Consider the following 14351-nt stretch of genomic DNA (forward strand, 5'->3'; position numbering starts at 1 on the left):
GAACTCTCAGTGGAAATTAGAAAACATCTTGAGAAGAATTAAAACAACATTGCAAAACATGAGATGTAGCCAAAGCAGTGCACAGTGGGAAATCTATGCTAAGGAAAAAAGTCTCAAATCAACCTGACTTTCCACCTTAAGAAACTAGAAAAAGAAGATCAATCTAAACACAAAACAAGCCAAAGTAAGGAAACAATAAAGATTTGAACAGTAATTAAATAGAGAATGGAAAAACAATAGAGAAAATGAAACCAAAAGTTGATCATTTTTTTAAAAATCAATGCTATGGTTTGACTGTGGTCCTCAAATTCATATGTCGATTGGAGGTGAGGCCTTTGGAAAGTAATCTCTTGCCATGTTATGAAGCAACAAGAAGACCCTCATCAGATGCCAGTGTAATGCTCTTAAACTTCCCAGCCTCCACACCTATAAGACATAAATTTCTTTTCTTATAAATTACCCATTCTGTGGTATTTTGTGTAGTAACAGAAAATGGACTAAGGTAATCAACAAATTGACAAAACTTTAGACTGATCAACAAAAAGAAAAGACTCAAATTACTTGAATCAAAAATGAAAGAAGAGACATTCCTACTGACCTTACAGGAACATAAAGGATCATAAGGAAATATTATGAACAAGTGAATCCAACAGGTTAAATAACCTAGATGAAATGAACAAATTCCTAGAAAGACGCTACTGAAACTAAGTCAAAAAGAAATACAAAGTCTAAATAGAATTACAATAAGTAAAGAGATTTAATTACTAATTATAAGCAAACTTCCCTTAATCCTTTTGTAGTTCATGAGCGTGATGATTGGGTGTTCACACACATATGTGAGATGTGACCCCTTGAACCTTGTTACCACGTGGGCACATTACCCATCTGATATGAAAAAAAAAGCAGCTTCCCATAAAGAAAATCTGTGGCTTCACTGGAGAAAAAGTTAGCACCTATTCACAAACCCCTCTAAAAAAAGAAACAGGAAGTGCTCCCCAACTTGTTTTATGAGGTCAATATTACCCTGATACCAAAAGTAGACAAAATCATTGCAAAACAACTGCTGTCCAACATCCCTTGAGTATAGGCTCAAAAAAAATGCTGGCAAACTGAATCCATCAGCATATGAAAAGGACTATACATCACGACCAAGCTGGATTTATTCAAGAAATGCAAGGTTGATCGATGTATGAGAATTAATCAATGTGATATTACTTACCTCAACAGATGCAGAAAAATAATTTCACAAAATCCAGTACCCTTTCATGATTAAAAAATAGAAAAAAAAATTCAACAACTAGGGATAGAAGACAATTTCCTCAACCTGATAAAAGACATCTATGTAAAACCCACAACTACTACCATTCTTACTGGTGAAAGACTATTTTCTCCTAAGTCAAGAACAAGACAAAGATATTCACTCCTGCTAGCCTTTATTCAACATTATTTTGGAAGTTCTGCCCAGGGCAATAAGGCAAGGAAAAGAAAAAAAGACATGCAGATGGGAAAAGGAAGTAAAAATATCTCTGTTTCAGATGATATGATCTTGTATATAGAAAATCTTAAGGAATGTACTAAAAAAACAAAATATTATTATTAGAAAATGAATAAACAAGCTTAGCAAGGTTGCAGAATATGACAGCAATATACAAAAATCCATTGTATTCCCAGGTGGCTTCTTTGCAGAAATTGACCATTTTATCCTAAAGTTCATATAGAAATACAAGGGACTCAGAAATAGACAAAACAAATTTTTTAAAAGAACAAAGTTGGAGTAGTCACACTTCCTGATTTCAAAACTTACTACAAAGACATAATAATCAAGACAGTATTGTGTAGGAATTGATATAAACAAATGGATTAATGGAACAGAAATAAGAGTTTAGAAATAAACCCTTAACATTTATGGTTGGTTGATTTTTCTTCCAGCCTTACTGAGGTACAATTGACAAATAAAAATTGTATATATTTAAAAGTGGATGTCGTGTCTTTTTTGCTTTTTCTTTTTTTTTTTTTTTTTTTTTTTTTTTTGAGACAGAGACTCACTCTCACCCAGACTGGAGTGCAGTAATGCAAATTCCTGCAGACTCAAATTCCTGGGCTCAAGCAATTCTCCTTCAGCCTCTGAAGTAGCTAGGACTACAGACGTGCAACACCATGCCTGGCTAATTTATGTATATATATATATATATATATATATATATAGTAGAGATGAGGTCTTGGTTCTTGCCGTGTTGCCCAGGCTGGTCCTGTACTCCTGGCCTCAAGCAATCCTCTCCCTCAGCCTTCCAAAGCTCTGGGATTACAGGCATGAACCACCACATCCAGCTGATCATGTTGTTTTGATATGTGCTGTGAAATAATTGCCACAATCAAGCAAGCTAACATATCCATCATCTAACATAGTTACCGTGTGTGTGTGTGTGTTAACACTTAAGATTTACTCTCAACAAATTTCAAATATTCAATATAGTATTACTAACTGTAGTTATTATGTTGTACATTTGATCTCGACAACTTATTCATCCTGTGTAACAGAAACTTTGTACCGTTTGAATGAGCAGTTAATCTTTGAAAAGAGTGCCAAGACAATTCAATGGGGGAAAGGATATTTGGAACAACTGAATATCCATACACAAAAAAATGAAGTTGCACTCAGAATCGATCATAGTCCTAAACGTAAGAGATGAAATTATAAAACTCTTAGAAGAGGCTGAGCACGGTGGCTCATGCCTGTAATCCCAGCACTTTGGGAGGCCGAGGCAGGCGGATCACGAGGCCAGGAGATCGAGACCATCCTGGCTAACACGGTGAAACCCCGTCTCTACTAAAAATACAAAAAATTAGCCAGGCGTGGTGGCAGGCACCTGTAGTCCCAGCTACTCGGGAGGCTGAGGCAGGAGAATGGCGTGAACCCGGGAGGTAGAGCTTGCAATGAGCCGAGATCACGCCACTGCACTCCAGCGTGGGTGACAGAGTGAGACTCCGTCTCAAGACAATAAATAAATAAATAAATAAATACTCTTAGAAGAAAGCATAGAATAATCTTTGTGACCTTGAATTATGCAAAAGCTTCTTAGACTTGACATTAAAAGCACAAGTAATAAAAGAAAAAATAAACATCAAAATTAATATATTTAGTGCTTCAAAGGACACCTTCAAGAAAGAGAAGGCTGAGCGTGGTGGCACATTCCTGTAATCCCAGTACTTTAGGAGGCCAAGGCAGGAAAATTTGCTTGAGCCCAGAAGTTCAAGACCAGCCTGGGCAACAGAGAGAGACTCCAAATCTACAAAAATAATAGTAAGTAAAAAGAAAGAGAACAAACAACCCACAGAACTGGAGAAAATATTTGTAAATCATGTATCTGATAAGTAACTTGTATCCAGAACATATAAAGATCTCTTACAACTCAAAAATAAAGATAAAAACTCAATTTTAAAAGGAGCAATGGATTTGAGCAGACATTTCTCCAAAGATATACAAATAGCCAATACACACATGAAAAGGTCCTCAACGTTATTGGCCATTATGTGAATGCAAATCAAAACTAAAATGAGATACCACTTCACACCCCTCAGGATGGCCAGAATTAAAGAGACACTAAAAGTATTAGTGAGAAAGTGGACAAATTACAATTCTCACACATTGCAGGAGGGAATGTACAAAGGCATGGCCCCAGTCTATGGCTACACCACCCTGAACATGCCAGATCTCATCTGATCTCAGAAGCTGGGCAGGGTGGGGCCTGGTTAGTACTTGCATGGAAGACTGCCTGGAAATACTGGGTGCTGTAGACTTAAAGGAAAAAAAAAAGAAAAAGAAAAAAAGAAACAAAAGAAACAAAGGGAACTGTTTTCCCTTTGGAAAACAGTTTTGCAATTCCTCAAACTATTAACCATGATGTTGTTACCTATGGCTCAGCAATTCTATTCCTAGTATGTACTGAAAGAAATGAAACCATGTTCACCTGAAAACTTACAGACAAATATTTATAGCGGTATTATTCAGAATAGCCCAAAAGTAGAAACAACCCAAATGTCCATCAACAGATGAATAAATGAGATGTGTGGTCTATCCATACAATGGAATATTTAACCATAAAAAGGAAGGAGGGACTGACATATGTTGCAACAGAGATAAATCTTGAAAACATTATTCTAAGTGAAAAAAGTTGTAACAGAGCCCCTTGAAATTTCAGCACCCCAACATTTTTAGTGACTGAAATAATGAAAATTCTCATAGGCCCTTGCTTCCTTACACAAAAGCCAGCATCCTTTGTTCCCATGATATAATTATAATATAAACTGCTGATGTGCTGTTTCTTTGTCAAGCAGAAGATAACTTCAGGGTCATGAAAAAAATTTTCAGAAGAAAGGGGCAGGTGCGGTGGCTCACGCCTGTAATCCCAGTACTTTGGGAGACTGAGGCAGGCAGATCACCTGAGGTCAGGAGTTTGAGACCAGCCTGGCCAACATGGCGAAACTCTGTCTCTACTAAAAATACATAAATTAGCCAGGTGTGGTGGTGGGTGCCTGTAATCCCAGCTACTCAGGAGGCTGAGGCAGGGGAATCACCTGAACCTGGTTGCAGTGAGCTGAGATCGCACCATTGCACCCCAGCTTGGGTGACAGAGCTAGACTCCGTCCTCCCCAGAAAAAAAGAAAAGAAAAAAGAAAAAACTTTGCAGAAGAAAGAACAAAATCATGTCCTTTACTGCAACATGGATGCAGGTGGAGGCCATTATGGTAAGTGAATCAATGCAGAAAGAGAAAACTAAATACTGCATGTTCTCAATTATAAGTGGGAGCTAAACATTGGGCACTCTTGAACATAAAGATGGCAACAATAGACTCTGGGGACTTCTACCAGGGGAGGGAGGAAAGGAGACAGGAGTTGAAAAACTATTGAGTACTATGCTCGGTACCTGGATGACAGGATCATTCATACCCTAAACCTCAGTATCATGCAATATACTCATGTAACAAACCTGCACATGTAACCCCTGAATCTAAAATTAAACTTGAAACTTTTATTTTATTTTATTTTGCAGAAGGAATGAATGTCCTTTAAGGACATTGTAACCAACTGCTGTAACCCAGCAATCTGCTTATTCAAGATGTTATCCGAGACTGAAGAAACGCAGACTTTTCCCCCTCGGTTCCTTGAAACTCCCCCTACCTTACTCTCTAGCCACATAAAACTATTTGCTTTTCATTCTTGATAGACAGAATTGAGAGATTTTGCTTTTCCCACCTTCTGGTTTTAGTCAAATCAAAAAAAACCTTTCTCTCTCTCCAACCACCTGTGTGTCAGTGTTTGGCATCAACTTCACGCCAGGCACACAAGCCTGAACTTGGGGTTCTGTTTCAAGGTCAGTCACAAAAGATCACATATGATTCCATTTATATAAACTGTCTGTAATAGGTGAATCTATAAAGATAGAAAGGAGATTAGTGGTTGTCTAAGACTGGGGACATTCACATGTAACTGCTAATGGTTACAGGTTTCCTTTTTTTTTTCTTTTAGAGACAGGGACTCGTTCTGTCACCCAGGCTGGAGTGCAGTTGTGCTGTCACTCACTGTAACCTTGAACTCCTGGGCTCAAGCAATCCTTCTACCTCAGCCTCCCAAAGTGTTGAGATTACAGGCATGAGCCAATGCACTTGGCCTTGAATTGTACACTTTAAACGAGTGAATTGTATGGTACATGGACTATATCTCTAAAGGTTTTAATAAGCTAACAAAACTAAAACCTATGAACTCAAGGTAAAAAATGTTAAACTTGACCAGCCATGGTGGCTCACACCTGCAATCCCAGCACTTTGGGAGGCCGAGGCAGATGGATCACTTGAGGTCAGGAGTTCAAGACCAACCTGGCCAACATGGTGAAACCTTGTCTCTATTAAAAAAAAAAATACAAAAATGAGGTGGCATGCACCTGTAATGCCAGCTACTCGGGAGGCTGTGGCACAAGAATTGCTTGAACCCAGGAAATGAAGGTTGCAGTGAGCTGAGATTGCACCACTAAACTCCAGCCTGGCAGAGCAAGATTCTGTCTTAAAAAAATAATAATTTAAACTCTAGTCTTAATAAAAACTCACACTTTGCAACATCATAACTCCATCACACTCCTGGTGTCCATGGAGCACCTACTGAGGTAAAGACACCTCTGTCCCCTCTGTGTACCCGTTTTGCTACCCAGTGAGTCTTAGACAGTAGCAGCTTCTGCCACTAAGAGCAATCCCTGGGATTAAGAGGAAAAGCAAGAGTTCTGGACCCTCCTTTCTTCCTCTGTGCACTCACTCCCAAGGTGATCTCATCCAGTCTTTGGTACTAAATCCATCTATACAAGGACACTCCAAAAGGTATGTCTCATCCCAGACCTCCATTTCAACTCCAGACTAGTATATTTAATCTATTACCTGACATCTCCATTAAGATGTCCAAAAGATATCTCAAATTTCACAGGCTCAGAACTAGCCTCTTGATTACTGCCCTCCATATTTCAGTTGCTCAGACCTAACATCTTCATCACCCTTGGGCCTCTCTCACTCCTCCATATCCAAGCCATCAACAAGTCCTGCTAGTTCTGTATTTCTATTTTCTGGATTAAGGTGGTGGATTGTTCATATGCATATAATTTTGCATCCTCACAAATTACACTAAATTGCTGTAAAGGGAATTTTTTTTAAAAGCAAACCATATGTACAAGGAGAACAAGAGAAAGAAAATTACAGAATGTCAGAAACTGAGGCCAGGCATGGTAGCTCACACCTATAATCCCAGCACTTTGGGAAGCCAAGGTGGGTGGGTCACTTGAGCCCAGGAATTCCAGACCATCCTGGGCAACATAGTGAAACCCTGTCTCTGCAAAAAAAATACAAAAATTAGCTGGGTGTGGTGGCGCACACCTGTTGTCCCAAGCTACTTGGAGAGCTGAGGCAGGAGGATCACCTGAGCCTTGGGAGGTTGAGGCTACAGTGAGCTGTGGTTATGCCACACTACACACTCCAGCCTGGGCAACAGAGTGAGACCATGTGTCTCAAAAAAAGAAAAAGAATGTCAGAAACTGAACAGAAAATAGACCAGCGATAACTGATGAAAGACTTTTGAAAAGTTAAGTCCCAGCTCATGCTTGTAATCTCAGCACTTTGGGAGGCTGAGTTGGGAGGAGCTATTGAACCCAGGAGTTCAAGACCAGACTAGGCAATAGAGTGAGACCTCATCTCTACAATAAAATTTTTTTAAGAATTAGCCAAGCGTGGTGGTGCACACGTGTAGTCCCAGCTACTTGGGAGGCTGAGCTGGAAGTTTTGCTTGTGTCCAGGAGGCAGAGGTTGCAGTGAGCGGGATCCTGAGATCCTGCCACTGCCTGGGCGACAGAGTGAGACACTGTTTCAAAAAGAAAAAAGAAGGAAGTTAAGCCCCAAGTCAGCATTGCAGTACACTGAAAAGGTCTAGGAACTGGCAGCACAGAATTCATCTACCACTAAGCATAAGAGGGTGGTTTTTCAGAAAGTTAAAATTTCAGAACCCACTGATTCCACTGTGTTCCTCCCTCAAAGTGGCAGTGGTTTCAACTCTAGATGTTTATTATTTGGGAAGGTGTTTCTAGCCTGAGGGACTCCTGGCACAGGCAAGGATGTGGGTAAAAACAAAAGAAGGAAGGGACTGACACTAAAAACTTAATGCAGATATCTGATATCGTAATATTTTTCCTGACTTGGATCCCAGAATTCTGGCATCAAGACACCCGTTTTCCAGCAGGGGGAATCCGATTACTTTTCTCCTGAGAAAATATTTTAAAAGAGATGCTCAGCCAGGTACAGTGGCTCATGCCTGTAATCCCAGCACTTTGGGAGGCTGAGGTGGGCGGATCACTTGAGGTCAGGTATTCTAGACCAGCCTGGCCAACATGGTGAAACCCCATCTCTACTAAAAATACAAAAATTACCTGGGGTGGTGGTGGGTGCCTGTTATCGCAGCTACTTGGGAGGCTGAGGCAGGAGAATTGCTTGAACCTGGGAGGCGGAGGTTGCAGTGAGCTGAGATCGAGCCACTGCTCTCCAGCCCAGGCGACAGTGTGAGACATTGTGGGGAAAAAAAAAAAGATGCTCATCATAGATTCCAACAAACAGCCTACTCTAATTACCCTATCACAGTGGTTCTTAATGGGGGACAATTTTCCTGCCCAGGAGACATTTGGTGATGTCTGGAGACATTTGTCATGTTACAGCTTTTGCGTGGGTGGGGTGGTTTCCCCTGGCAGCTAGTGGGTAGATACTAAAACTGCCTTTGCAAAATTATAACTGAGGAAATTATGGCAGTGAAAGAAATCAGACCTAACCGACTCCATCTTGCTTCTAACCCTTAAACTGTCCTTGTTCATTCCTGGATGTCGGCTGAACTAACTTTGGGGAGGAATTCAGTTCATAGTTTAACTCTGAAACAAAATTGATAACAGCACATTCCCAAAAAGACCCCCTTCTTGCCTGGGGACCAGTCTGCCTTTGCAGGACTAACAAATTAGCTACAAGATTTGAAATTACAGTTTAGGGGTCTGCAGCCTCTGGCTCCAAGAATCTGAACCTCCCCAAATTGCTCCTGGGGATGACATCACTACTGTGAACCCTAAGATCAGTGCTTGAGATACTTTGCAGACCCTGCACTCCATGGATCAGCTGACACCACCCAGACCGGCAGTCTGGCTCAACCAGTTCTGCCATTGCACCCAGGAACAAAGACAGCAAGAAAAACTCACTTCGACCCCCTGTGATTCCATCTCCAGCCTGACCAATCAGCACTCCCCACTTCCCAAGATTCTACCTGCCAAATTATCTTTAAAAACTCTGATCCCCGAATGCTCAGGGAGACTGATTTGAGTAATAAAACTCTGGTCTCCCACACAGCTGGCTCTGTGTGAATTAGTCTTTCACCATTGTAATTCCCCTGTCTTGATAAATCGGCTCTGTCTAGGCAGCGGGCAAGGTGAACCCACTGGGCGGTTACAATACCAGCGGTGCTGCTCAACACTTTACATTGCATAAGGATCATAAACTGCAGGAGATTCCTCAGATGGCGGGAGAGGAAGGGATCCAGGAGAGAAAAGTCACTTCCTCTACTCAAAGAGGACAGGAAGCAGACAGGACCAGGATCAGGAAGGGTCTGGGTCATTACCCTCAACACCAAACATGCTTGCTATGGTTTGCATATTTGACCCTTTAGGTTGAAATTTGCTCCCCAGTGTTTGAGGTGGGGCCTATTAGGAGGTGTCTGGGTCACAGAGGTGGATCCCTCATGAATGGCCTGGTGCCCAATAATGAGTGCATTCTTTCCCTTAGCTCCCAAAAGACCTGATGTGTTGTTTCTGTTGTTGTTGTTGTTGCTTGTGTGTGTGTGTGTGTGTGTGTGTGTGTGTGTGTGTGTGTGTGTGTGTTTTGAGATGGAGTATTGCTCTGTTGCCCAGGCTGGAGTGTAGTGGCACGATCCTGGCTCGCTGCAACCTCCACCACCTCCCAGGTTCAAGTGATTCTCCTGCCTCAACCTCCCAAGAAGCTGGGATTGCAGATGCCCACCACCACGCCCAGCTAATTTTTGTGTTTTAGCAGAGACGGGTGTTACACCATGTTGGCCAGGTTGGTCTTGAACTCCTGACATCAGGTGATCTGCCCGCCTTGGCCTCCCAAAGTGCTGGGATTACAGGCATGAGGCACCATCCTTGACCTGCTTTTTATTTACTGAGACACGGTCTCACTCTTTCGCCCAGGCTGGAGTGCAGTGGCACGAACAGAGCTCACTGCAGCCCTGACCTCCCAGGCTCAAGCAATCCTCCCACCTCAGCCTCCCAAGTAGCTTACACCATAGACACGCACCACCACACCAGCTTATCTTTTTAATTTTTGTAGAGATGGGAGTCTTGCTATTTTATCCAGGCTGGTCTCAAAGCAATCCTCCCATCTCGGCCTCCCAAAGTGTTGGGATTACAGGTGCAAGTCAAGGTGCCCAGCCAAAAGCTGATTGTTAAAAAGAGCCTGGCACCCCCCTATCCTGTCCCCAGCCACCTTGCCTCTTACTTCCTCTCTCTAACCATGTGATCTTTGCATAGAACAGTTCCCACTTGCTTTCCATCATGAGTGGAAGCTCCCTGAAGCCCTCACCAGAAGCAGATGCTGGAACCGTGCTTCTTGTACAGCCTGCAGATCTGTGAGCCAAATAAACCTCTTGCCTTTATAAATTACTCAGCCTGAGGTATTCCTTTATAACAACACAAAAATGGAGCAAGACAAATGTTGTTTCTCCTGTCTTTTTTTTTTTTTTTTTTTGAGACAGAGTCTTGCTCTGTCACCCAGGCTGGAGTGCAGTGGCATGATCTCGGCTCACCGCAACTTCCGCCTCGCGGGTTCAAATGATTCTCTTGCCTCAGCCTCCCAAGTAGCTGGGATGACCGGTGTGTGCCACTATAGCCAGCTAATTTTTGTATTTTTAGTAAAAACAGAGTTTCACCATGTTAGCCAGGACAGTCACGATCTCCTGACCTTGTGATCCACCCGCCTCGGCCTCCCAAAGTGCTGGGATTACAGGCATGAGCCACTACACCCAGCCTACTCCTGTCTTTTTATTTATTTATTTATTTATTTATTTATTTATTTATTTATTTTTATTATACTTTAAGTTCTAGGGTACCTGTGCACAACATGCAAGTTTGTTACGTATGTATACATGTGCCATGTTGGTGTGCTGCACCTGTTAACTTGTCATTTACATTAGGTATATCTCCTAATGGTATACCTCCCCCCTACCCCCACCCCATGACAGGCCCCAATGTGTGATGTTCTCCACCCTGTGTCCAAGTGTTGTCATTGTTCAATTCCCACCTATGAGTGAGAACATGCAGTGTTTGGTTTTCTCTCCTTTCGATAGTCTGCTCAGAGTGATGGTTTCCAGCTTCATCCATGTCCCTACAAAGGACATGAACTCATCCCTTTTTATGGCTGCATAGTATTCCATGGTGTATATGTGCCACATTTTCTTAATCCAGTTAATCATTGATGGACATTTGGGTTGCTTCCAAGTCTTTGCTATTGTGAATAGTGTCACAATAAACATATGTGTGCATGTGTCTTTGTAGCAGCATGATTTATAATCCTTTGGGTATATACCCAGTAATGGGATGGCTGGGTCAAATGGTATTTCTAGTTCTAGATCCTTGAGGAATCACAACACTGTCTTCCACAATGGTCGAACTATTTTACAGTCCCACCAACAGTATAAAAGTGTTCCTATTTCTCCACATCCTCTCCAGCACCTGTTGCTTCCTGACTTTTTAATGATCACCATTCTAACTGGTGTGAGATGGTATCTCATTGTGGTTTTGATTTGCGTTTCTCTGATGGCCAGGATGATGAGCATTTTTCATGTCTTTTAGCTTCATAAATGTCTTCTTTTGAGAAGTGTCTGTTCATATCCTTTGCCCACTTTTTGATGGGGTTGTTTGTTTATTTCTTGTAAATTTCTTTGAGTTCTTTGTGGATTCTGTATATTAGCCCTTTGTCAGATGAGTAGATTGCAAAAATTTTCTCCCATTCTGTAGGTTGTCTGTTCACTCTGATGGTAGTTTCTTTTGCTGTGCAGAAGCGCTTTAGTTTAATTAGATCCCATTTGTCAATTTTGGTTTTTGTTGCCATTGCTTTTGGTGTTTTAGTCATGAAGTCCTTGCCCATGCCTATGTCCTGAATGGTATTGCCTAAGTTTTCTTCTAGGGTTTTTATGGTTTTAGGTCTAACATGTAAGTCTTTAATCCATCTTGAATTAATTTTTGTATAAGGTGTAAGGAAGGGATCCAGTTTCAGCTTTCTACATATGGCTAGCCAGTTTTCCCAACACCATTTATTAAATAGGGAATCCTTTCCCCATTTCTTGTTTTTGTCAGGTTTGTCAAAGATCAGATGGTTGTAGATGTGTGGTATTATTTCTGAGGGCTCTGTTCTGTTCCACTGGTCTATATCTCTGTTTTGGTTCCAGTACCATGCTGTTTTGGTTACTGTAGCCTTGTAGTATAGTTTGAAGTCAGGTAGCATGATGCCTCCAGCTTTGTTCTTTTGGCTTAGGATTGTCTTGGTAATGCAGGCTCTTTTTTGGTTCCATGTGAACTTTAAAGTAGTTTTTTCCAATTCTGTGAAGAAAGTCATTGGTAGCTTGATGGGGATGGCATTGAATCTATAAATTACCTTGGGCAGTATGGCCATTTTCACAATATTGACTCTTCCTGTCCCTGAACATGGAATGTTCTTCCATTTGTTTGTATCCTCATTTATTTCATTGAGCAGTGGTTTGTAGTTCTCCTTGAAGAGGTCCTTCACATCCCTTGTAAGTTGGATTCCTAGGTATTTTATTCTCTTTGAAGCAATTGTGGATGGTAGTTCACTCATGATTTGGCTCTCTGTTTGTCTGTTATTGGTGTATAGGAATGCTTGTGATTTTTGCATATTGATTTTGTATCCTGAGACTTTGCTGAAGTTGCTTATCAGCTAGGAGATTTTGGGCTGAGAAGATGGGGTTTTCTAAACATACAATCATGTCATCTGCAAACAGGGACAATTTGACTTCCTCTTTTCCTAATTGAATACCCTTTATTTGTTTCTCCTGCCTGATTGCCCTGGCCAGAACTTCCAACACTATGTTGAATAGGAGTGGTGAGAGAGGGCATCCCTGTCTTGTGCCAGTATTCAAAGGGAATGCTTCCAGTTTTTGCCCATTCAGTATGATATTGGCTGTGAGTTTGTCATAAATAGCTCTTATTATTTTGAGATACATCCCATCAATACCTAGTTTACTGAGAGTTTTTAGCATGAAGTGCTGTTGAATTTTGTTGAAGGCCTTTTCTGCATCTATTGAGATAATCATGTGGTTTTTGTCATTGGTTCTGTTTATATGATGGATTATCTTTATTGATTTGCATATGTTGAACCAGCCTTGCATCCCAGGGATGAAGCCAACTTGGTCATAGTGGATAAGCTTTTTGATGTGCTGCTGGATTCAGTTTTCCAGTATTTTACTGATGATTTTTGCATCGATGTTCATCAGGTATATTGGTCTAAAACTCTCTTTTTTTGTTGTGTCTCTGCCAGGCTTTGGTATCAGAATGATGCTGGCCTCATAAAATGAGTTAGGGAGGATTCCCTCTTTTTCTATTGATTGGAATAGTTTCAGAAGGAATGGTGCCAGCTCCTCTTTGTACCTTTGGTAGAATTTGTCTGTGAATCCATCTGGTCCTGGACTTTTTTTGGTTGGTAGGCTATTAATTATTGCCTCAATTTCGGAACCTGTTATTGGTTTATTCAGGGATTCAACTTCTTCCTGGTTTAGTCTTGGGAGGGTGTATGTATCGAGGAATTTATCCATTTCTTCTAGATTTTCTAGTTTATTTGCATAGAGGTGTTTATAGTATTCTCTGATGGTAGTTTGTATTTCTATAGGATTGGTTGTGATATCCCCTTTATCATTTTTTGTTGCATCTATTTGATTCTTCTCTCTTTTCTTCTTTATTAGTCTTGCTAGTGGTCTATCAATTTTGTTGTTCTTTTCAAAAAACCAGCTCCTGGATTCATGGATTTTTTGAAGGTTTTTTTGTGTCTCTATCTCCTTCAGTTCTGCTCTGATCTTAGTTATTTCTTGCCTTCTGCTAGTTTTGAATGTGTTTGCTCTTGCTTCTCTAGTTCTTTTAATTGTGATGTTAGGGTGTCAATTTTAGATCCTTCCTGCTTTCTCTTGTGGACATTTAGTGCTATAGATTTCCCTCTACACACTGCTTTAAATGTGTCCCAGAGATTCTGGTATGTTGTGTCTTTGTTCTCACTGGTTTCAAAGAACATCTTTATTTCTGCCTTCATTTCATTATGTATCCAGTAGTCATTCAGGAGCATGTTGTTCACTTTCCATGTAGTTGAGTGGTTTTCAGTGAGTTTCTTAATCCTGAGTTCTAGTTTGATTGCACTGTTGTCTGAGAGACAGTTTGTTATAATTTCTGTTATTTTACATTTGCTGAGGAGTGTTTTACTTCCAACTATGTGGTCAGTTTTGCAATAAGTGTGATGTGGTGCTGAGAAGAATGTATATTCTGTTGATTTGGGGTGGGGAGTTCTGTAGATGTCTATTAAGTCTGCTTGGTGCAGAGCTTTGTTCAGTTCCTGGATATCCTTGTCAACTTTCTTCTAGTTGATCTGTCTAATGTGGACAGTGGGATGTTAAAGTCTCCCATTATTATTGTGTGGGAGTCTAAGTCTCTTTGTAGGTCTCTAAGGACTTGCTTTATGAATCTGGGTGCTCCTGTATTGGGTGCATATATATATTT

The 14351-nt window shown here is 40.9% G+C and overlaps 1 non-coding gene and 1 pseudogene across 1 annotated transcript; both read left to right on the top strand.

Annotated features, from left to right (window-relative positions):
* The first annotated feature begins 788 nt into the window (after nt 1-788).
* On the top strand, nt 789-891 carry LOC124903784 (small nucleolar RNA U13). The gene has a single exon (XR_007065230.1). It is a non-coding gene; the product is annotated as a small nucleolar RNA U13 (small nucleolar RNA).
* Nucleotides 3680-3798, top strand: RNA5SP427 (RNA, 5S ribosomal pseudogene 427; annotated as a pseudogene).

This window comes from Homo sapiens, chromosome 16 (assembly GCF_000001405.40).
Source record: "Homo sapiens chromosome 16, GRCh38.p14 Primary Assembly".
In the NCBI taxonomy this organism is placed as follows: domain Eukaryota; kingdom Metazoa; phylum Chordata; class Mammalia; order Primates; family Hominidae; genus Homo; species Homo sapiens.